At 37.7% G+C, this 26,031-nt stretch overlaps 1 protein-coding gene across 1 annotated transcript; it reads left to right on the forward strand.

Moving 5' to 3' along the window:
* Nucleotides 1-11,950: 11,950 nt before the first annotated feature.
* OR2M4 (olfactory receptor family 2 subfamily M member 4) lies at nucleotides 11,951-25,213 on the forward strand. Its single transcript, NM_017504.2, has 2 exons — nucleotides 11,951-12,114; nucleotides 19,444-25,213. The coding sequence occupies exon 2, from the start codon at nucleotides 19,463-19,465 to the stop codon at nucleotides 20,396-20,398; it is 936 nt and encodes a 311-aa protein (NP_059974.1). The 5' UTR covers nucleotides 11,951-12,114; nucleotides 19,444-19,462; the 3' UTR covers nucleotides 20,399-25,213.
* The last annotated feature ends 818 nt before the right edge of the window (nucleotides 25,214-26,031 follow it).

Consider the following 26,031-nt stretch of genomic DNA (forward strand, 5'->3'; position numbering starts at 1 on the left):
CTTTTTATTGTGTCTATTTGACTCTTCTCTCTTTTCTTCTTTATTAGTTTGGCTAGTGGTCTATCTATTTTGTTAATCTTTTCAAAAAACCAGTTCCTAGAGTCATTGATTCTTTTGAAGGATTTTTTGTCTCTATCTCCTTCAGTTCTGCTCTGATCTATTTCTTGTCTTCTGCTAGCTTTTGTATTAGTTTGCTCTTGCTTCTCTAGTTTTTTTTTTTAATTTTGATGTTTGTGTGTTGATTGTAAATCTTTCTTGATTTCTGATGTGGGCATTTAGTGCTATAAATTTCCCTCTAAACACTGCTTTAGCTATGTTCCAGAGGTTCTGGTACATTGTCTCTCTGTTCTCATTGGTTTCAAAAAGCTTCTTTATTTCTGCCTTAATTTCATTGTTTACCCAGTAGTCATTCAGGAGCAGGTTGTTCAGTTTTCATGCAGCAGTGTGGTTTTGAGTGAGTTTCCTAATCTTGAATTCTAATTTGATTGCACTGTTGTCTGAGAGCCTGTTTGTTACAATTTTCATTCTTTTTGCATTTGATGAGGAGTGTTTTACTTCCAGTTACATAGTCGATTTTAGAATAAGTGTTATGTGGCACTGAGAAGAATGTATATTCTGTTGATTTGGGGTTGAGAGTTCTGTAGATGTCTGTCAGGTCTACTTGGTCCAGAGCTGAGTTCAAATCCTGAATATCCTTGTTAATTTTCTGTCTTGTGGATCTGTCTAATATTGACAGTAGGGTGTTAAAGTCTCCCACTATTATTGTCTGGGAGTCTAAGTCTCTTTGTAGGTATCTAAGAACTTGCTTTATCAATCTGGGTGCTCCTGTATTGCATGCATTTATATTTAGAATATTAGCTCTTCTTATTGCATCGATCCCTTTACCATTATGTAATGCCCTCCTTTGTCTTTTTTGAACTTCGCGGGTTTAAAGTCTTTTTTTATCAGAGACTAGGATTGCAACCCCTGCTTTTTATGCTTTCCATTTGCTTGGTAAATATTCCTCCATCCCTTTATTTTGAGCCCATGTGTGTCTTTGCATGTGAGATGGGTCTCCTGAATACAGCACACTGATGGTTCTTGACTCTTTAACCAGTTTGCTCATCTGTTTCTTTTAATTGGGGCATTTTCATTTTTTCCCACTTAACTTGCACACAAAAAACATGTGGCTAGAATGAATTTAATTGTTGTTGTATCTTTGCAATTTACAAAATTAAATTTTATGTTTTGTTTCAGGCAACATTGTAAATAGATACTTCTGGTGCTAACATGGAAGCTGTCTGATTTTCCAGTCATGAACTGAAGTGCAAGTTAATGGAGCTGAGCTTGTCATTTTCCCTCTAGACATACATATGCAAACTTAAAAGAATCCAATACACATAACTGTCCTTACAGTCATTATTACTGCCCTCAGGGTCAGGTCCAGTAGCCATCTAAGTGTCCAATGCAAGTGCTCCATTGGCATTTTATTACAATAAACCATGAGTGATATCTTGATTAATTGTGATGCCACTGCACGCCATGAATTACTAGTATCCCATTTCCCATTGAAAAGGAGCTAACCATCATGCTTAATCCTGAAGCCATGACCAAAACAATCTCTAAACTGCATCTTTCTGGACAAGCAATATGAAATTCTCACACCAGTTAGAATGGCAATCATTAAAAAGTCAGGAAACAACAGGTGCTGGAGAGGATGTGGAGAAATAGGAACACTTTTACACTGTTGGTGGGACTGTAAACTAGTTCAACCATTGTGGAAGTCAGTGTGGCGATTCCTCAGGGATCTAGAACTAGAAATACCATTTGACCCAGCCATCCCATTACTGGGTATATACCCAAATGACTATAAATCATGCTGCTATAAAGACACATGCACACGTATGTTTATTGCGGCATTATTCACAATAGCAAAGACTTGGAACCAACCCAAATGTCCAACAATGATAGACTGGATTAAGAAAATGTGGCACATATACACCATGGAATACTATGCAGCCATAAAAAATGATGAGTTCATGTCCTTTGTAGGGACATGGATGAAATTGGAAACCATCATTCTCAGTAAACTATCGCAAGAACAAAAAACCAAACACCGCATATTCTCACTCATAGGTGGGAATTGAACAATGAGATCACATGGACACAGGAAGGGGAATATCACACTCTGGGGACTGTGGTGGGGTCGGGGGAGGGGGGAGGGATAGCATTGGGAGATATACCTAATGCTAGATGACACGTTAGTGGGTGCAGCGCACCAGCATGGCACATGTATACATATGTAACTAACCTGCACAATGTGCACATGTACCCTAAAACTTAAAGTATAATAATAATAATAAAAAAAGAAAAAAAAAAAAAAAAAGAAATTCTCAGGAGGGCAAGTAATCAGCAACCCATAGCCTGTGTATGCAATTAGAGACCTTCAGAGGACACAAACCACACAGTCAAAGGTGGGAGGCTGGGGCCTTGCTGAAGAAACACTGATTGGCCTGAACCTTTGGGCCATAGGCAGCTGCATACAATGCACACCAGGATTTGCCACGAGAGTCTGGGCAGGTGGCTGCATACAGAAAATATGGGGATTTGACAAGAGAGTTCACTTCCTACAGGTGCCAGCATGAAGAAGGTGTGCAGCCTTGCAGAGGGAGTCTGGATAGACAGCTGTGCCTGGGCCACATAGAGCTCTGTCCTCCATGTTCAGAGGACTGCAGAAGTCTTAACCCTAAACCCAGATTACAAGATTGTTCAGTGACTGCATTCTGTGCCTGAAGCTAGAGCAGGATCTGCAGAATATTCTCATATTCACAACACAAAAGTCCCTGGGCTACACAGAAACACCCAGTCTCTTCCTCCTGCAAGGAACCATAAGTGCCCTATACTGAGAAAACTTAATATTATACTCATTTTAAAGCAATTTTAATGAAATTCCATATTACAGAGTTTATTTTGAAAGGGGCATGAAGAGCAGAAATGAAATACATTGACAATTGATGAAGGTGACTCAGAAAGAAAGATTTGTTCAAAAATTTGACATGCTAAGCTTCAGAGTATCCTTCAAATTCTATCTGTGGCCCCAGACACAGTACACAATCATTCCCATAGGAAAAAAACTTTAAAAGTTTACAAAGTTTGACATGTCATAACGGATGTGTTATGATTTTCTCTGTCTATAAAAAAAAAGAAATCAGAGCTTCACTAAATTATGTGGTACTCAAATTCAGAGTCAAGGAAACAATTTGACACATGTTGGTGGAACAGCTAGAGGCATAGGCAAAGTAAAACTAAACAATTAGAAGCCAAGGGAATGGAGATGTAACATGCAAACTCACACACATAACATAAGATTGCAGGAAAAACTGTAAATATAAGCTTGGATAAGGTGAACCATTAGAAGATAAAGCTGCCAAAGGCTGACTTTTAAGATGTAGTTACGTAAGTTTAAAATAAAGTCCCATAAAATTACAGAGAAACATTTTAGTTGGGCAAATGTTAATAAGAAATTCAGTCCAGCTATTTTAATAAAACATAAAATGCAATGTAAAATGAAATAAAATTATCAATGATAGATATTTCATAATGAAAAAGTAGTAACAATTAAAGAAAGGACCCAACTATAAACTTGTAAGAACTAAGAAGTTTATTTTCAACATGAAATCCTCAAATTGTTAGAAATGGAAGGAAATATTGGTACTTCCACATTATGTTTTTAACTTTTATTTTAGGTCGGGGTACATGCGCAGCTTTTTATATCGGTAAATTTTGTGTTATGGGAGTTTGATGTACAGGTTATTTCATCACCCAGTTAATACATATATTACCTGAAAGGACGTTATTTGACCCTCAACCTCCCTCCTAGCTTCCACACTCATTTGTGTCCACATGTATTCTATGTTTAGCTCCCACATATAAGTGAGAACATGCAATATTTGGTTTTCAGTTCCTCTGTTAGTTCACTTAGGATAATGGCATCCAGCTCCTTCCATGTTGCTGCAAAGGATATGATCTCATTCTTTTTTATGGTTGTGTAGTATTATATGGTATATATGTACCAAATTTTCTTTATGCAGTCTACCATTGATGAGTATCTAAGTTTATTCAATATCTTTGTTATTGTGAATAGTGCTGCAATGAACATACATGTGCAGGTGACTTTATGGCCAAATGAGTTATATTCCTTTGAGTACATACACAGTAACGGGATTGCTGGGTCAAATGGTAGTTCTGTTTTAAGTTGTTTGAGAAATCACCAAACTCCTTTCCACAATGGCTGAACTAATTTACATTCCCACCAGCAGTGTGTAAGTACTCCCTTTTCTCTACAATCTCACCAGCATGTGTTATGTATAGACTTTTTAATAATAGTTGTTTTGACTGGTGTGAGATGATATCTCTTTGTGGTTTTTATTTGCATTTCTGTAATGATTATTGATGTTGAGCATGTTTTCATATGCTTGTTGGCAACACTTATGTCTTCTTTCGTAAAATGTCTATTTTTATCCTTTGCCAACTTTTAATGGAGTTGTTTTTTGCTTGTTAATTTGTTTGTTATAATACTTATAAATACTGTATATTAGACTTTGTTGAATGCATAGTTTTCAAATGTTTTCTTCCTTTCTGTAGTTTGTCTATTAACTCCGTTAATAGTTTCTTTTGCTGTCCAGAAGGTCTTTAGTTTAATGGAGTCCCATTTGTCAATTTTTGATTATGTACAATTGCTTTTGGTATGTTCCTCAGGAAATATTTGCCAGGGCTTCTGTCCAAAATGGTATTTCCTAGGATATTTTTCAGAGTACTAATCATTTTAGGTTCTACATTTAAGTCTTTAATCCGCCTTGAGTTTATTTGTGTATAATGGTGCAAAAAGGGTCCAGTATCAGTCTTCTGCATATGGCTAGCCAGCTATGCCAGCACCACTTATTGAATAGGGTGTCCTTTCCTGATTGCTTGTTTCTGTTGACTTTTTTGAAGATCAGATGGTTGTAGGTGCAACTTTATTTCTGGGCTCTATATACTGTTCCATTGATCTATACGTCTTTTTTTTTTTTTTTTTGGTAGCAGTTATTATGCTATTTTGGTTACTGTAGCCTTGTAGTATAGTTTAAAATCAGGTGATGTGATACCTCCAGATTTTCTCATTTTGCTTAAGGTTACTATTGCTATTTGAGCTTTTTGGTTCCATATAAATTTTAGAATTTTTTTTTTTTTTTCAGATTTTCACTCTTGTCACCCAGGCTGGAGTGCAATGGCACAATCTTGGCTCACTGCAATCTCTATCTCCAGGGTTCAAGAGATTTTCCTGCCTCAGCCTCCTGAGTAGCTGAGATTACAGGTGCACACCACCACACCTGGCTAATTTGTTTTTAGTTTTTAGTAGAGATGGGGTTTTGCCATGTTGTCTGGGCTGGTCTCCAACTCCTGACCTCAGGTGATCTGCCCACCTTGGCCTCCCAAAATCCTGGGATTACAGGCGTGAGCCACTGCACCTGGCACAATGTTTTTTTCTAATTCTGTGAAGAATGTCATCAGTAGTTTAATAGGAATAGCATTAAATCTGTAAATTACTTTGAGCAGTATGACCATTTAAACTATATTGATTCTTCCTATTCATAAGCATGGAATGTTTTTCCATTTGTTTATATCATCTCTGATTTCTTTCAGCAGTGTCGTAATTTTTGTTGTAGATTTCTTTTACCTCTCTGGCTAGCTGTATTTTATTCTTTTTGTGGCTATTGTGAATGGAACTGTACTCATGATTTGGCTCTTAGCTGGGGCATTATTGGTTTATAGAAATGCTGCTAATGTATGTACATTGATTTTGTACCCTGAAACATTGTTGAAGTTGTTTATGGGAACAATAAACTTTTGGGGAGAGACTATGGGGTATTCTAAGTATAGAATCATATCATCTGCAAACAGAGACAACTTGGCTTCCTCTTTTCCCATTTAGATGCCTTTTATTTCTCTCTTGCCTGATTGCTGTGACTAGGAATTCTAGTTCTATGTTGAATAGCAGTGGTGATAGAGGGCATCCATGTCTTGTGCTGGTTTTCAAGGAGAATGCTTCCTGCTTTTGCCCATTCAGTATGATGTTGCCTGTGCATTTGTCATAGATGGATATTATAATTTTGAATTATGTTCCTTCAATGTCAGTTTGTTGATGATGTTTGTCATAAAGAATGTTGAATTTTATCAAAAGCCTTTTCTGCATCTATTGAAATGATTATATGCTTTCTGCTTTCAGTTCTGTTTATGTGATGAATCACATTTATTGATTTGCGTATGTTTAACCAACTGCACATTCCTGGAATAAAGCCTACTTGATTGTGGTGGATTAGCTGGATTCAGTTTGCTAGTATTTTGTTGAAGATGTTTGCATTCATTTTCATCAAGGATATCATCCTAAAGTTTTCTTTTTGTATGTGTGTCTCCCTCAGGTTTTGGTATCAGAATAATGCTGTCCTGAAACAATGAATTAGGGACCATTCCCCTCTCTTCAATATTTTGGAATAGTTTCAGTAAGAATGGTACCAGCTCTTCTTTATGCATCTGGTAGAATTTGGCTGTGAATCAAATCTGGGCATGGGACTTTTCTATTTGGTAGGCTGTTTATCACTGACTCAACTTTTGGAGCTCGGTATTGGTCTGTTCGGGGTTTCCATTTCTTCCTGGTTCAATTTTGAGAGGTCGTATGTTTTCAGGAATTTATCCATTTCTTGTAAGTTTTCTAATTTATATGCATAGAGGTGTTCATAATAGTCTCTGAGGGATTTTTGTATTTCTGTGGGGTCAGTGATATTATCCCCTTTGTGATTTCTTATTTTGTTTATTTGAATCTTCTCAAATTTTTCCTTATTAGTCTAGCTAATGGTCTATCAATCTCATTTGTTATTTCAAAAAACTAATTCATGGATTTCTTGATATTTTGTATGTTTTTTTAAAATATCAGTATCATTCAGTTCAGCACTGATTTTATTTCTTGTGTTTTGCTTGCTTTGGGATACTTTGCTCTTGTTTTTCTACTTGCTGTAGGTGTAATGTTAGGTTTTTAATTTGAGATCTCTTTAACTTTTTTGATGTGGAAGTTCAGCATTATAAAATTTATTCTTAATGCTGCTGTGTCCCAGAGATTATGGTATATTGTACCTTTGTTTTCATTACTTTCAAAGAATTTCTTGCTTTCTGCCTTAATTTCATTGCTTACCCAAAAGTCATTCAGGAGTTTAATTTCCATGTGATAGTATGTTTTGAGTGATTTTCTAAATATTAGTTTATGTTTTTATTTTTCTGTGGTCCAACAGTATGATTGGTATGACTTCAGTTTTTTGCAGTTTGGTGAGAATTATATTATGACTAATTATGTCATCAAGTTTTAAAGTATGTGGCATGTGCAGATGAGAAGAATGTATATTATGTTTCTTTGGCTGGAGAGTTGTGTAGATGTGTGTTAGGTCTATTTGGCCAAGTATTGAGTTCAGATCCCAGGTATCTTTGTTAATTTCCTGGCTTGAATACTGTCAGTGGGGAGTCAATGTCTCCCAGTATCATTGTATGTTCATCTACATCTCTTCATATGTCTCTAACTATTTGTTTTATAAATCTGTGTACTCCTGTATAGATTGTGTAATATTTAACGTAGATAGGTCCTCTTGTTGAATTAAACCCTTCATCATTATGTAATGCACTTCTTTGTGTTTTTTTATCTTTCTTGGTTTACAGACTGTTTTGTCTGAAATTGGAGTAGATGTTCCCCACTAACAGTAGTTAGAGACATATGAAGGGATGTAGATAAACATGTGCAGATGAGAATAATGTATATACTGTTTTTTTTTTGGTTACAGAGTTCCGTAGATGTGTGTTAGGTATATTAGGCCAGGGGTTGAGTACAGATCCCAGGCTCTCCTCTTTTTTTCTGTTTGTTTGGTAGACTTTTCTCCATTCCTTTATTTTGAGCCTATGGGTGCCATTAAGTGATGTTTGTCTCTTGAAGACAGCATACATTGGGTTTTACTTCTTTATCCAACTTAACACTTTGTGTCTTTAAATTGGGGCACTTAGCTTATTTACATTCAAAGTTAATATTGATATCTGCAGATTTGATCCTGTCATCACATTGTTAACTTGTTATTATGCAGACTCGATTGTGTAGTTGCTTTATAGTTTTAGTGGTCTATGTACTTGTGTGCATTTTCATGGTCTTTCATTTCCATATTTAGCAGTCCTTTAATTATTTCTTGTAAGACAGGTCTCATGGTAACAAATTTTCTTAGTGTTTGCTTGTCTGAAATGACTCTTATTTTCTTCATGTATGCAGTTTAGTTTGGCTGGATATGAAATTCTTGCTGGGAATTCCTTTTCTTTATGTATACCAAATATAGGCCCCAAACTTTTCCGGCTGATAAGGTTTTTGCCGAGAGGTCTTCTGTTAGCCTTATGGAGTTCCCTTTGTAGGTGACCCACCCCTTCTGTCTGGCTGCCTTTAACATTTTTTATTTCATTTTGAATTTGGAGAATATGATAACTATATGTCTTGAGGATGGTCATCTTGTATAGTATCATGCAGGGGTTCTCTGAATATCCTAAATTTGAATATTGGCCTCTCTAGTATGATTGGGGAAATTTATATAGATGATATTATTAAATATTTTTTCCAGTTGCTTGCTTTCTCTCCCTCTTTTTCATGAATGTCAATGATTTGTGGATTTGATCTCTTTACATAATCCTATATTTCACAGAGGTTTTGTTCACTATTTTTTATTATTTTTTCTTTATTTTTGTCAACCAGTTTTTGTGCTCTGAGATTCTTTCCTCAGCTTCATCAGTTCCGCAGTTAATACTTGAGATTGTATCATGAAATTCTGGGAGTAAGTTTTATAGCTCTATCAGATCAATTTGTTCTTTCTTAAAATTACCACTTCATCTTTTCATTCCTATATCATTGTATTGTGTTCCTTAGATTCTTTGAATTGGGTGTTGATTTTCTCCTGAATCTCAATGGTCTCCATTCCTATCCATATTTTATGTCTGTCATTTCAGCCATTTCAACATGCTTAAGAACCATAGCTAGGGTGTTAATGCAGTCATTTTGAGACAAGAAGACACTCTGGCATTTTTTAGTTGCCAGAGTTCTTATACTGTTTTTTGTTTGTTTGTTTGTTTTTCCAGTCTGGTTGGGCTCATGTTCCCTTAGTCTTTGAAGCTGCTGTCCTTTGGATGGTGTTTGTTTTTTTTTTTTTTTTTTTTTTTGCTTTGATCTTCTTTGATGTCCTTGGGAGTTTGATTGTGGTACATGGTGGGTTCAATGATATGGCTTTGTTTCTGGAAGCTTTTAGGGGCCAAGTTTCAATGGAGTACCTTTGGGCTGTGTGTTCTAACTCTGGGGGTCTGGAGCTGGACCCTAGCTTTGATCTCTGGCCTTTTGATGTTAGAAACCTACCGCACTGGAGGGGCTTAGGTGCTTCTTGTCTACTGGCACAACACTCCAATGGTGCATGCTGGCCAAAGCACTTAGTTAGGGTGGTAGCATTGGGATTAGTTCTTGCTCGCATGTATCAGCATTTTTGGTAGTGCAGTGGGAGGCATGAACATCAACTGGGGCAGGATATCAGCAGAAGCAGGGTGGCAGTGCTCCTGTACGTGCTCATGCTGGTTGTGGCAGAGTGGGGGTGAGGCTGCTGGTATTCAGACTTGCACTTGCTCTGATTGTCATGACAGAGGTGCAGTGCGGTAACTGTGCATTTTCAGAGCTAGGGAACCAGCAGGAGCAGGGCAGTGGTGTCTGTGCACTTTCACAGTGGCTTTTGTGGCAGATAAGTGGTGGTGGGCCTCTGGCAGTGGTGGGGGTTGCTAGCATCAGTGCACACAGATGTGTTAGTGGTAGGGGTGCAACAGGCTGTCTGTGCATCTGTGAATACTAGGAGGCAGGGTACACTCATGCTGGTAGAGTGGGGTGGCAGGGAGTACATGCATACCTGTGCCTGCAAGGGATGGGAGATGAATTCCCTTAGAAAGCAGTGGGCGTGTCCCAGCAAAGCAGTAGCGGAAGGCTTCAGCTGGGGGAGCTATAGGTCAGCTGGTGCATGTCTGTAGGGCCAGTCCGCAGGAGCTCTCTGACAGGAGCAGTCTGTGGCAAGGTGGTGACGATGAAAGCCCCCAGGAAGCACATATGTTGGGCATCCAAAGCTGTGCTGCAAGCAGGCATGGCCAGGCTGGGGACCCAGAAGAGGCTGGCAGATGAAGAGCCTTCAGATTAGACTGGCCCTGTCCCACAGGCAAGACCAATCTGCTCTGTCCAGTTCTGACAGTCGCCCAAAGCCTTATAGAAGAGCCTGGTGAGCCTGGGGGGATGGGCATCCCTGGCTGTGATCCACTGCAGTCACTTCAATGCCAAACTGTCTGGGCTTTACGCAGGATGGAGTCCTGCCCCTGTCATCTCTCTAAGTAGCTCTCCTTGCAGCTCAAGTATCTTTGAGAATCATAGAGTCTTGTGCTGCCAGAATTCTGGAGATCCACGTTGAAAGCTGGCTACTCTTCACCTGTTCAACTCATGCCTTCCCCAGGAGTTGCATGCAAGGCTTAAAACCTAGATGATGGCCAGGCATGGTGGCTCACACCCATAATCCCAGCACTTTGGGAGGCTGGATCACAAGGTCAGGAGATCAAGACCATCCTGGCCAACATGGTGAAATCACATCTCTACTAAAATACCAAAAAAAAAAAAAAATTAGCCAGGCATGGTGGCATGCATCTGTAGTCCCAGCTACTCGGGAGGCTGAGGCAGGGGAATCGCTTGAACCCGGGAGGCGGAGGTTGCAGTGAGCCGAGATCGTGCCACTCCACTCCAGCCTGGCAACAGAGCGAGACTCCGTCTCAAAAAAATAATAATAATAAATAAAAATAAATAAATTTTAAACAAGTCTAGATGATGGGTTGATGTGTGCAGCAAACTACCATGGCACATGTAACAAACTTGCATGTTCTGCACACGTATCCCAGAACTTAAATTAAACTTTAAAAAAAGTCATTGCTGCAGACAAATGAAAGCTTTTGAGAGTGGAGAGAAGCAAGACCAAATGTAGACTTGTTTTGAATTAGTATAGTGAATTTACTGGAAAATGCAAAGGATATATCTTAAAGATATAGGCCACATACAAGTCTTTAGTGCCCCTTTAAATTGTCAATCACATGCTTGCATACGTTTAGGCATCTAAGAGCTTATTTACATTTATATCAGCTTAAGCATTTGGTGTTTTTTTGTTTTTGTTTTTGTTTTTGTTTTTTTGACGGAGTCTCACTCTGCCACCAGGCTGGAGTACAGTGGCGCGATCTCGGCTCACTGCAACCTCCACCTCCCGAGTTCAAGCGAGTCTCCTGCCTCAGCCTCCTGAGAAGCTGGGACTATAGGCACGTGCCACCAAGCCCGGCTAATTTTTTTTTTTTTCTGTATTTTAAGTAGAGATGGTGTTTCACCGTGTTAGCCAGGATGGTCTCCATCTCCTGACCTTGTGATCCGTCTGCCTTGGACTTCCAAAGTGCTGGGATTACAGGCATGAAGCACTGCACCCGGCCCAGCTTAAGTATTTGATACAATATACTAGAAATAAGTTAAAAATGTTAACACAATTGAGAAGGCAGGTTGACAGATTTCATTTACTTTGTAATAAATATTCCCTGTTTTAATTTTAATCGCATTTTAATAATCTGTAAAGATTTAAGTTTCTCATTAACACAATTTACTTCCTAAAGAAAGGTAGGCAGCCATTTATGACTTTATAGCAAGTAAAGAATGACAGTATTGGCAAAAAGTAACTAGAGCCTTGGGGTCCACATGGATTTTGTTTCCTAGGAGAAATTCTGAAAGAAGGCATGCCATCTATAATTGATGTCAGGGGATTTAACATTTTGTGGAGGTATAGAATTTAAGGTCCATGATGCTGTAGGGTGGATAGGCCTTCGGACAAGTGGGTCATTTGGACTACTGGAGTTGCTGCTTTTGAATCTTTTCTAGAAGAGAAAGAAGAAAAGGTTGTAATACAGCTCAGGCAGTGATTATTATATTCCAGAGTATAAAGAACCCAGAACTGATTTGGCGAATTTTCCCCTTGATCACCACCTGTGAGTAAGACATATAACACTCTTTAAAAGAAAAAAAATTCCGTTATGTCTTGTGCTGACCTTATATGACTTTATTGAGGAAAATCACGAGTTCATGTGCATTAAAAAGCTTTTGGAACACTATACAGAATCACACAAGTGTAAGCCTTCCTCAACCTGATTATTACAATTAGGTAGTTCTTCACAACTACCTAATTGTGGAGTATCCTGGAAATGTCCTCATTTCTCCTGCAATCCTGGACTCTCTTTCTGTTTCATACTAAAAATGAAGGAAAAGAAGAAAGAGAGACATAGTATTCTTAATGGTTATTTTAATTTATTGAATATTTATTGAAGCTTTATGAGAAACATAACTATCTTCTACCTGGTGGATCTACACCTCAACATGAATTTACAAAAACAATCATATACCAAGTGGTGTCTATCTACTGCTTCAAACATACATGAAAATTTGGACTTAAAAATTTTCTACATACCACCCAGTGTAAATTTTTAGTTTAGAAATTATTGGGGAAGTGATTCACTCCCACAAAGTACCCAGTTTTCTTATTTGTGTTCTTAATTTTTCATGAAATATACTAATTCATAAAATTCTGACAATCAATGTTATAAAGACGAAGTAAAGAAAAATTTAATAAAATCTGATTTAGTTAAATTCCACAGTGTGTGAGACATTCTTGAAATCTGGACACATTGAATATGCTACAATATGTGGTTGGAAATCTTCAGGTTGGTAAAAATCACAAGGTCTAGGGAAAAGCTGGACTCAGTGGGGTTGAGCTTCTTTCCAAAGACTTTGTGCCCACTTAGATCTCTTCATAGTTTATGTGGTTTCTCCTTCTCTGATCGCCATTAATATTCCAAAATTTCTTATCACTTCAGGCCCTCTTAATATTATTTTGTTTTCTTTTTATTTCTATTTTAGCTCTAATTTTAGCACTTATTTTCCTCATATGCCTTCACCTCTCTTCCAGACACTTAATTCTTCCTCTCACTTAGTCAAGTGCCTTCTATCATTTTCCTCATTCTTCTCCATTTTTCATTAATAATTGGCATAAAATCATATGGAAGAATCAAAATAGTTCTAGCAATGTGAGGATTTTACAATTTCATGTGACATTGTAACGCAATTCTATTCTTAAAATGGAAGAGCAAAGAAAGGTACTGCTCCTTCTTTATGTTGATACCTTCAAAATGAGGCTAGATTTTGTATTCATTTAGAGAGGCATCAATATTTTTATATATTCTTGTAGGAAATTTGGATTCCCTCTACATCTCTGCAGGATTAAAATAAAAGAAGTACCTAGAACATAGTAATCATACAAATGAATGAATGTGTCACCAGCTGAGGAGTTATTCTCTAGTTCAACATTTGCTATATCTTGTTATTTATCACATTCTTCTATTTCTAAACGTTAAAATGGATAATGTAAATTTTATTTTGGAATATTGACATAACAGTTTAATTTAGTTAAGATAAAATAAAGCCATGTTACTTTTTGTGTGTCATGAACATAAGTAAAGGGGTCTCTGTTATTTAGTTTTCCTGCTTTAAAAGGGATTTTACCATTAATTATAATCAGCAGAAGTTCATTTAGAGTACCAAGATATAAACAGAACATTTCCTGGGGAAGGTGTTAGCAGCAAAAGGATTTCAAACTAGTTTTCACTTTATAAATAAAGTGTTGTGATAGGCATATGCCACATACCATTAAGATGTAACAGAATCTGCTCTGGCCTTAAGGGTGTATAATACTTGGTTTGATGTACAAATTTGAATATATAGCTTGCTGATATGAAGTAGGAAAGCTTGCTATATGTCTACTTATGGGATGAGTCATGGATACATCCAAGAAAAAAGAGGAGATAATTGGATTTCTTTATAATTTCATTGAATTCCACAGAATAAATTTGAAAACTACTACCTGCTTAGTATTTCTTAGTGGAATAAAAAATAAACACCAAGGATAAACACTCACAATGGTAAATAATCTTCAGAAAATAGTCAGTATCAAAAAAAATTATATGAGTATGCAAAAATATTGATGTTTCTATACAGCTAAATACATTTTGAAAAATAGTAGTAGGAAATAACAACAAAGACATTTCATCATTTCAAGCTTTGAAATCTGGAAATTCAAAAAAAATTTGGTGGCAGTTATGTATATCAGGCAGAAATAACAGCAGGACTAGCTTTGGATTGAGTTTTATTTGGGATATAATTAATTTGGGACTCCAGGGTACTGTTTTACAATATGATGTTTTAGAGCCATGTTTGAAAAAAAGGCGGGGGAGGGGCTAGAGATAATAATTGAGAGCTTTTTACAAAGACCTGATGGTTGATTTTATTTCCACCATCTTCTTCTTCCACTGTTATTGCCTGGGGTTTTACCCTGGCTCCCTTGGATAAAGAAGGTGTTTGCTCCATGATCTTCGGGCTCGCAGATCTAACCTGTTCAAAGCATCAAATGTGCAATGTCCAAGATATTTTCTCAATGCAAAATCATTTTACTTCACTTCACATCTTTAGTCCACAACATAAATTTCCTCTTTGATATTTGCTTAATTAGAAACAAAATTGAAATGTATTTAAATACTCTGATTCTTTATATTTCTCCAGATGCATTTCTTGTAGTGCTCCCTGCTCCACACAACTACATCCTGAGTTCTGCCCATCTTGAACTGGGCTGAGTCAAATATTTTTTTTTTTTAATTTGTATTTTATTATAGGTTCCAGGATACATGTGCAGAACATGCGGGTTTGTTACATAGGTAAATGTGTGCCATGGTGGTTTGCTGCACCTATCAACCCGTCACCTAGGTATTAAGCCTCACATGCATTAAGTATTAGTCCTGATGCTTTCTGTCCCCTCAACCCCCTTAACAGGCCCCAGGGTGTGTTGTTCCCCCACCGCTGTGTCCATGTGTTTCAACTGTTCAGTTCCCACCTATGAGTGAGAACATGCGGTGTTTTGTTTTCAGTTCCCATTCTATAGGTTGCCTGTTTGCCCTGATGAATTATTCTTAGAAAACTGAAACACCTTCATTCATGTCCCTGCAAAGGACATGATGTCCTTCCTTTTTATGGCTGCATAGTTTTCCATGTTGTATATGTGCCACATTTTCTTTATGAGATGGTATCTCATTGTGGTTTTGATGTGCATTTCTCTAATGATCAGTGATGTTGAGCCTTTTTTTTTTTAATAGGTATGTTGGGCACATATATGTCTTCTTTGAGAAGTGTCTGTTCATGTCCTTTGCCTACTTTTCGATGGGGTTGTTTTTTCTTATAAATGTAAGTTCCTTGTAAATCCTGGATATTAGACCTTTATCATATGGGTAGATTCCAAAATTTTTCTCCCATTCTATAGGTTGCCTGTTTGCTCTGATGATAGTTTATTTTGCTGTGCAGAAGCCCTTTAGTTTAATTAGACTCTATTTTTCAATTTTAGCTCTTATTGCAATTGCTTTAGGTGATTTTATGATAAAACCTTTGCCCATGCCTATTTCCTGAATCGTATTGCCTAGATTTTCTTCTAGGGTTTTTATGGTTTGGAATTTTACATTTAAGTCTTTAATCCATCTTGAGCTTATTTTTGTATAAGGTGTAAGATAAAGGTCCAGTTTCAGTTTTCTGCATATGGCTAGCCAGTTTTCCCAGCACCATTTACTAAATAGGGACTCCTTTCCCCATTGCTTGTTTTTGTCAGGTTTGTCAAAGATCAGATGGTTGTAGATGTCAGGTCTTATTTCTGAGATCTCTATTCTGTTCTGTTGGTCTATGTGTCTGTTTTGGTACGAGTACCATGCTGTTTTGATTGCTGTAGCCTTGTAGTAAAGTTTGACGTCGAGTAGTGTGATGCCTCCAGCTTTGTTCTTTTTGCTTAGGATTGACTTGGCTACATGGGCTTCTTTTTGGTTCCATAGGACTTTTAAAGTAGTTTATCTAATTCTGTGAAAAACGTCCATGGTAGTTTGATGGGAATAGCATTAAAGGGCATACATTGAGCAGTATAGCCATTTTCATGATATTGATTCTTCCCATCCATTAGCATGGAATATTTTTCCATTTGTTAGTGTCTTCTCTTATTTCCTTGAGCAGTGGTTTGCAGTTCTCTTTGAAGGGGCCCTTCACATCCCTTGTTAGCTGTATTCCTAGGTGTTTTATTCTCTTTGTAGCAATTGTAAATGGAAGTTCATTCATGAGTTGGCTCTCTGCTTGTCTATTGTTGGTGCATAGGAATGCTTGTAATTTTTGGACGTTGATTTTGTATCCTGAGACGTTGTTGAAGTTGCTTGTCAGCTTAAAGAACTTTTGGGCTGAGACAATGGGGTTTTCTAGGCATAGGATTGTCATCTGCAAACAGAGACAATTTGACTTCCTCTCTTCCTATTTGAATACCCTTTGTTTCTCTCTTGCCTTAATGCCCCGACCATAACTTCCAATACTATGTTGAATAGGAGTGGTGAGAGAGGGTATCTACAGAACTCTCTAGTACAAAGTAACATAATATACATTTTTATCAGTGCCACATAGCACCCACATAGAACTTACTCTAAAATAGATTACATAATTGGTAATAAAGCACTCCTCAACAAATGCAAAAGAGCTGAAATCATACCAAACAGTCTCTCAGACCAAAGCATAATCAAATTAGAACTCAAGACCAAGAAACTCACTCAAAACCACACAACTACGTAGAAATTGAACAACCTGCTCCCAAATGACTCCTGGATAAATAATTAAATTGAGACAGAAATCAAGGAGTTCTTTGAAACCAATGAGAACAAAGAGACAATGTATCAAAATCTCTGGGATGCAGCTAAAGCAGTGTTAAGAGGGAAACTTAGAGCACTAAATGCCCACATCAGAAAGTAAGAAAGATCTCAAATTGACACCCTAACATCACAACTAAAAGAACTAGGGAAGCATGAGCAAACAAATCCAAAGGCTAGCAGAAGACAAGAAATAACTAAGATCAGAGTGACACTGAAGGAGATAGAGACACAAAAAAAAGCCTTGAAAAAAATTAATGAATCCAAGAGTTGATTTTTTGAAAAATAAAATAAAATAAAATAGACTGCTGGCTAGGCTAATAAAGAAGAAAGAGAGAATAATCAGATAGACCCAATAAAAAATGATAAAGGGGATATCACCACTGACCCCACAGAAATACAAACTACCATCTGAGAATACTATTAACACCTCTACACAAAAAACTAGAAAATCTAGAAGAAATGGATAAATTCATGGACACATACTCCCTCCTAAGACTAAATCAGGAAGAAATCGAATCCTTGAATAGATCAGTAACAAGTTCTGAAATTGAGGCAGTACTAAATGGCCTACCAACCAAAAAATGCCCAGGACCAGATGGATTCACAACCTGATTCTATCAGAGGTACAAAGAGGAGCTGGTACCATTCTTCTGAAACTATTCCAAACAATTGAAAAAAGGGGACTTCTTCCTAACTCATTTATGAGGCCAGCATCATCCTGATACCAAAACCTGGCAGAGACACAACAAAAAGGGAACACTTCAGGCCAATATCCCTGGTAAATATCGAGGCAAAAATTCTCAGTAAAATACTAGCAAACCAAATCTAGCAGCACATCAAAAATATTATCTACCACGATCAAGTCAGCTTCATCCCTGGTTCAACATACAATAAACAATAAACATAATTCATCACATAAACAACCAATGACAACAACCACATGATTATCTCAATAGACACAGAAAAGGCCTTAGATAAAATCCAACATCGCTTCGTGTTAAAAACTCTCAATAGCCAGGCACGGTGGCTCATGCGTGTAATCCCAGCACTTTGGGAGGCTGAGGTGGGTGGATCACCTGAGGTCAGGAGTTTGAGATGAGCCTGACCAACATGGTGTAACCCTATCTCTACTAAAATACAAAAATTAGCCAGGTGTAGTGGCGGGCGCCTGTAATCTCAGCTACTTGGGAGGCTGAGGTGGGAAAATTGCTTGAAACCAGGAGGCAGAGTTTGCATTGAGCCAAGATTGCACCATTGCACTCCAGCCTGACAACAGAGCAAGACTCTGTCCCCCCCAAAAACAAAACAAAACAAAACAAAAAAACTCTCAATAAACTAGGTATTGATGGAACATACATCAAATTAATAAGAGCTATTTATGACAAACTCATAGCCAATATCACGCTGAATGAGCAAAACCTGGAAGCATTCCCTCTGAAAACCAGCACGAGATGAGCCACGTTTCATACAGTTGAGCCTTTGCTCACTGTGGTAGAACACGCCCCGTAAGTCTCCAAAGTAGCACATTGCAGAGAAGCTGTTAAAGACCACAGAAGGGTTTTCTTTTGTCCCTAGATGTTTATCCGATTTGATTTATAACACTTTATTGTAAAAAGAAGAAATCAATTTTTTCAAAAATACAAAGGTTTTTGAATGTCCTCACTACAAAAAAATGATAAATGCATGAGGTGATGGTCACACTAAATACCCTGATTTGATCATTATGCAAAATATATGTTTTGAAATGTCAAAATGTGCCCCCATAGATATTTACAACTTTAATGTATCAACTTAATAAAATTAAAAATAGAAACAAAACAAGCAAATAAACAAACAAAAAATGCAGCTTCTTTTCCACACAGAATTGGAAGGAAAAAAATTATCCTCAGAAGATAAGTGAACGATTTAGTCTTCCTTAGAAAAATATTTTAATGGGGGTTTTGATTAAATAAGACAAGACTTCACGACTTGGTCTGAGATAGAAAAGTTAAAACATAGAGTACTATACCCTTCTCTGAACTGAAGTGTACAGGTGTCCCCAAGGAGTAATGTCATTGATCTCATATAATCCTTCACTGGGCTGCAGGTAGGATGGTAGGGAAAAAAAAACATGCGAACAGGAATTCTGTTGTCAACGAGACTACTAACCTGGAGAAATATTAGGACAGAAGGAGAAAAAATTCTGTAAGGAATTTTCTTTTATGAGGTATGATCCTAAAATTTAGCAATAAAGGCATACAGTGATTTTTCTCCTAGGTTTTCTATTGACTGTACATGTGGGTAAGTAGGGAAGCTCTTATACACTTCAGCATTCTTGTCTGTAAAGTAAATGTCCAAATGTACTCCATGTATACTCTGTGAAAGTTGGATGAGGAAATAATTGTAAAAGCAATGGACTAATCCACACAATTTACCATGACTAAAGGAAGGTAACTGAAGGTTGGTGAGAAGGCCTTATGCATGCATATAAACTGCCCAGTAGAGTATGTCACAGTATGTGTTTGAAAACTGAATTGATAAATAAGCTTGTACCTTCTTTGGAATTCTCAGATAAGGCAAATTATCCAGGATGGTGTGGGAAAACCAGACCTTCAACTCCATCTTCATCCTGCTGGGAATCTTCAATCACAGTCCCACCCACACCTTCCTTTTTTCTCTGGTCCTGGGCATCTTCTCACTGGCATTGATGGAAAATATTTCCATGGTTCTCCTCATCTACATAGAGAAACAGCTCCACACCCCCATGTACTTCCTCCTCAGTCAACTGTCCCTTATGGACCTCATGCTCATCTGCACCACTCTACCCAAGATGATCTTCAGCTACTTGTCTGGGAAGAAATCTATCTCTCTGGCAGGTTGTGGAACTCAGATATTCTTCTATGTGTCCCTGCTTGGAGCTGAATGTTTCTTGTTGGCTGTCATGGCTTATGACCGCTATGTGGCTATATGTCACCCTCTTCAGTACACCATCCTCATGAATCCGAAACTCTGTGTCTTCATGACTGTTGCTTCCTGGACCTTGGGGTCTCTTGATGGGATCATAGTGCTTGCAGCTGTCCTGTCATTTTCTTACTGCAGCTCTCTGGAAATTCATCACTTTTTCTGTGATGTTGCTGCCCTTTTACCTCTATCCTGCACAGAAACATCTGCATTTGAAAGACTACTTGTCATTTGTTGTGTGGTAATGCTAATCTTTCCAGTTTCAGTTATCATACTTTCCTATTCCCATGTCCTTCGAGCCGTCATCCACATGGGCTCTGGGGAAAGTCGTCGCAAGGCCTTCACTACCTGCTCCTCCCACCTGTCTGTGGTCGGACTCTACTACGGTGCTGCTATGTTCATGTACATGAGACCAGCTTCTAAACATACGCCAGACCAGGACAAGATGGTGTCGGCCTTCTACACTATTCTCACCCCTATGCTGAACCCTCTCATTTATAGCCTCCGCAACAAAGAAGTGTTCAGGGCACTACAGAAGGTACTGAAGAAAAGAAAGTTAATATGACCTTATCAAAATCTTTTTGAGTGCCTACTGTGGTCAACACTCATTCAAAAAAACTGGAATCTCTTAAATTATTCTATTTCTATTTCTGGTAATTTGTATTAATATTTTCCACTTCTTTTCAAAATTATCTATTCAGTATATTATTACATATACATCGTTTGTATACTAAGCTAGATTTGGATGTTAGTATAAGTGGTTTAATCCCTGTGAATGACAATTATATTATTAGGTGTCACACATGGGTGGTACTTGATTTTAGGATGCTTACTTTTGAAGCCAGGTATAAGTCCGAAGGGTCTTAGCTGTATCAAAAAGCAAAGGTTGGAGTTGATCCTCTGTTTTTGGAGAGATGCTTCTTTGTTCACAAATTACTTACCTATTAGTACTTGTTTTTAATTTGCCCATCCTCAAACCCAAGAATGACTATTTTAATACTGATTCTTCTTTACTTGACTCCCAAGTATTTAAAAGTGCGGAGTTAGTATCAACACTTTCTTCAATCAAGTTTTATGTCTGCATAAAATATTTCCTAGAAACTCGTATAAACATACACACACTTAAGTATATATGTGTGTGATCTTTATGCTAATAAAATTAAATATTTTAAGGAGTCCACATAAAATATCTATTTGGGCTGCACAGTCAACATCTGTATCATGTCTGCTTTTATTCCTTATAATCCTTATATTAACCATCAGAATCTGAAGGCAGAGCAAGATGATGGAATAGAAGGCTCCACTGATCGTTCACATGCAAGGACAGCAATTTAACAATAATCCATACACGAACAACACATTCATGAGAGCCAAAAATCAGGTGAGCCTTCGTAGTACCTGGTTTTAACTTTATATCACTGAAGAGGCAGTGAAGAGGTAGAAAAAACAACTTGAACAGACAATGCCACCCCTCTCTCACCACTGACAGAAGGAACAGTGTGCTAAGAGTGTCTCTGGGCTCTGGTGAGAAAGAACACAGCAATTGTGAGGCTTTGAGCTCAGTGCTGTCCTGTAAGAGCAGAAAGGAAAACCAGATAAAATTCAGCTGATGCCTGGCCACAGACAGAGCATTTAAACCAGCCCTTGTCAGAGGGGAATTACTGATCCCAGTGGTCAAAACTTGTGTTCCCACAAACCTTGACACTGAGGGCTAAAATGCGCTGAGGCTCTAAGTAAACTTAAAAGGCGGTCTATGCCATAAGTACTGCAACTCTTAGGTGAGTCCTAGTGCTGAATTGGGCCCCGAGATAGTGGACTGTGCGGCGGGCACGTGAACTACAGAGACAGCAGCTGGGGCAACTGAGGTTGTGCTGGCATCACCCTTGCCTAACCTCAGGCTGCACAGCTCATGGCTCCAAAAGAGTTCTTCCACTTGAGGAGAAGAAAGAGTGGAGAGGACTTTGTCTCACATCTTGGATACCAGTTTAGCCACAGCAAGAAAATGCACTCGTCAAAGCTGTGAGGCCCTTATTCCAGGACCTCCATCCCAGATGACATTTCTATATACACCCTGGGCAAGAAGGGACTAACACTGTTGCTTAATATTTTGCTTCGTAAGCACCAATGGATTGATTCAACTGAAATTTTTGTACTCACCACAGTAATATTCATAATTATTATTTAGATTGACATGCTTATTTTTAAGTATAGTATAATCAAATGTTTTCTAATTTAAAAATGTGCTAGCAAATTTTAAAAATTAAAACAAAGGCTAATTTTATCCTTAAAAAAAATAATTTCTGGGCCGGATGCAGTGGCTCGCTCATGCCTGTAATCCCAGCACTTTGGGAGGCCGAGGCGGGCAGATTATCTGAGGTTGGGAGTTCAAGGCCAGCCTGACCAACATGGAGAAATTTCATCTCGACTAAAAAAATACAAAATCAGCCGGGCGTGGTGGCCCATGCCTGTAATCCCAGCTACTCGTGGGGCTGAGGCAGGAGAATCGCTTGAACTTGGGAAGTGGAGGTTGCTGTGAGCCGAGATCATGCCATTGCACTCCAGCCTGGGCAACAAAAGCAAAACTCCATCTCAGTAAATAAATAAATAAATAATTTCTGTTAAATATAAAAAGTAGTTTTTATCATAGCAAATGTCGCCCTAGCTATGTCAAGTCAAAAATTTAGATTTATTGGGATTTTAAAAGAAGATAATACTATGTCCCTATGTGTTTCATTCCACTTTATGATACACACTGGAAATGTTTATGCTCAGTTTTTGGAAGCAGAATATATGTGTCGTGGGTACAGTTGCTCAATTTATTCAATTTATACTTGTATATGCTGATTCTTCACCAATGAATTCAATTTTATTAATTCAATTAATTAAATTTTATAATACAAAACAGTGAATTTAATGACATATCTTTGCCAGTCAGTGTTCACTGGTTGAGCCAGAAAGAGTTTTACAAAGTTTTTTTTTGAGACGGAGTCTTGCTCTGTCACCAGGCTGGAGTGCAATGGTGGGATCTTGGCTCACTGCAGCCTCCACCTCCTGGGTCCAAGTGATTCTCCTGCCTCAGCCTCCCGAGTAGCCAGGACTACAGGCGCATGCTACCACAACTGGCTAATTTTTGTATTTTTAGTAGAGACGGGATTTCACCATGTTGGCCAGGATGGTCTCAATCTCTTGACCTCGTGATCCGCCCGCCTTGGCCTCCCAAAGTGCCTGGATTACATGCGTCAGCCACAGCACCCAGCCCCGAGTTTTACAAAGATTTACTGTACTTTCACTCCCACTCCGGATCTTCTTTAATCAAAATATATAGCAAGCATTTCAATAGTCATGATAACAAATAGAAGTGTGATTTACATTTTGTCAGCAACATCACACCTTATGTGAAACAGGTAAATTTAGAACAACCAGAAAAGAAAGACTTATCTGTGATCTACTAAGAGAAGTATGAAAATTGAGCTTGAAATGGAAACATTTTATGATATGAATCGATAATGATTTTGTACATTTGATTTTACACATAATATGCAGAAAAAAGTAATTTTAATATGCAATTATGTAAACTGCAAAATCTACAAGAAACATTTGAAAACAATTTTGATATTGATGAATTTAAAGTTACTTTTTAATTTATATGTTAAATTTTTGAATTTGATGTTAATAATACCGACTTGAAAGAAGTTATATTGCTTACTCAATTTAGTGATGAAAAATGTTTTGAGTATGTTTGGGACATTGCGTATATGTGAATCTAATTTTTCAACTGTAAATTTTATTAAATTTAAATGCAGACCAAGTATTTTTGAAAAAAAATTAGTGTCTGAATTATGAGCTGAAAATGTAAAATAAACGCTTGATTTTAAAAAGTTTATACATAAAATGTAAAATATATCGTTATTAATTTTTAAGGTTGCTTGCCTGTTGAAACAATATTTTGGACGTATTAGTTTTAACTTAATTTTTGGTGTTGAAGTTTGGGCTGTAATCCAGTAGATGGCGCCTAAGAGTAATGCCCGTAGAGAGGCTCTTGATCGGCCACTTGGCTCTTTCGTGTTTCCTGGCATTCGCAGGCACGCTGTCCGGTGGGGGTTGAGAGAGATGCCTCCTTACCAGGACGACTCCTGAGCCTTGGAGGAGGCCCCTCCAATTACTAGCACTTCGCCTGCATTTCTTTTATTAGATGTTTCGGGCTACAGCCCTCCCTCAGGCAGAGGCCACAGCAGAGAGAGCTACCTTTCAGCATGTACAGAAATTAACTCGAGATGGATTAAAGACTTAAACGTAAGAAAATCCTAGAAGAAAACTTAGGAAATGCCGTTCTTGATACCAGGCTTGGCAAATAATTTTTGGCTAATTTCCCAAAAACATTTGCAACAAAAATTGACAAGCTAGACCTAATTAAAGAGCTTCTTCACAGCAACAGAAATTATCAGCAGAGTAAACAGACAATCTACAGAATGGGAGAAGATATTAGCAAAATGTGCATCCAACAAAGGTCTAACATCCAGATTCTATACGGAACTTAAGTCAACAAGCAAAACCCCATTAAATAATCCCATTAAAAAGTGGGCAAAGCACATGACCATGCATTTCTCAAAAGAAGGCATATGAGCAGCCAACAAACATGAAAAAATGGTCATCATAGTTAGTTATGAGAGAAATGCAAATCAAAACCTAAATGAGAGACCATCTCACACCAGTCCCGTCAAAATGACCATTAATAAAGTCAAATAATAACAAATACTAGTGAAGCTGTGGAGAAAAGGAACACATATACACTGTTGGTGGGAATGTAAATTATAGTTGAGCCACTGTGGAAAGCAGTTTGGAGATTTCTCGAAGAACTTAAAACAGGGCTGCTACTTGACCCAGGAATGCTATTACTGGGGATACATCCAAAAGAAAATAAATTGTTCTACCCCAAAGACAAATTATTCATTCATTGCAGTGTTATTCCCAATAGCAAGGAATCAACCTACATGCCCATCAATGGTGGATTGGATAAAGAAAATGTAGCACATAAACACCACAGAGTGCTACATAGCCATAAAAAAGAACAAAATCATGTCCTTTGTAGCAACATGGATGCAACTGGAGGCCATTATCCTAAGTGAATTAATGCAGTAACAAAAAACCAAATACTGCATGTTCTCACTTATACATAGGAGCTAAACTTTGGGTACTCAAGGATGTAAAGATGGAAACAATAGACACTGTGGACTACCAAATGGGGAAGGAAGGGAGGGGAGTGTGGGTTGCAAAACTACCTATGGGATACTATGCTCACAACCTGGGTGATGGGATCTATACCCTAAACCTCAGCGTGATGAAATATACACATGTAACAAACACGCACATGTACCCACTGTGTCTAAAATAAAAGATGAAATCATTTAAAAAATAATTTAACATTTCATCTTAACTTTTAAAACTGTGGTCACTAGTATATTTTTAAATTACCTAGGTGGCATATTATATTTCTTTTGAAGTATGTTTATCTAGATGACTAAGATATGGTGATTTCCATTGTATTTCTGTTAATTTACTACTTTAACCTCTTCAAAACCCACACAATTCCTGAAACTCCAGTAAGTAGAAGTTCCTATGTTAGACTCAGTATCTTTTCTAGAGCAAATTAAGATGGTCTTATGCACCTACTATTGATTTGGTAAATGAGCTCTTTTCTATCACTCTGAGGAAAGAATATCAAGAACAACTCACATTCATAAGGATCAGACATCTTCTATTTATAATACCTCGGTCTATGCCTATCCTCCTGTCCTCTGTCATGATGTAAGTGAAAGAAATACAAGCTACCTGGACATGCTGCATAAAAAAAAATGTACTACATTTAGAGGACAATATGCTAATTGGACTGAGCTGTAAGAAATAGCTAGCACACTGGAGACATTGTAATACATTTGTTATCCAAAGGTGCAAGATATACCTTACCAATATCAGCGGTCTTCCACAAAAATAAAGGTTGTAGGAAGTTACATGCCACTTAAAGTCTCATGGGATATCCAAAGCAAAGGAAAGATTACTGCATCTTGCCCTCTCACCAAAAGATAGATACATGATAGATAGATAGATAGATAAATAGATAGATAGATGGATAGATAGATAGATAACAGATAGACAATACTTGGTATACCTTTTTGGGTTTTGACGGCAGCATATACCACA

This window comes from Homo sapiens, chromosome 1 (genome assembly GCF_000001405.40).
Source record: "Homo sapiens chromosome 1, GRCh38.p14 Primary Assembly".
Taxonomy (NCBI): Eukaryota; Metazoa; Chordata; class Mammalia; order Primates; family Hominidae; genus Homo; species Homo sapiens.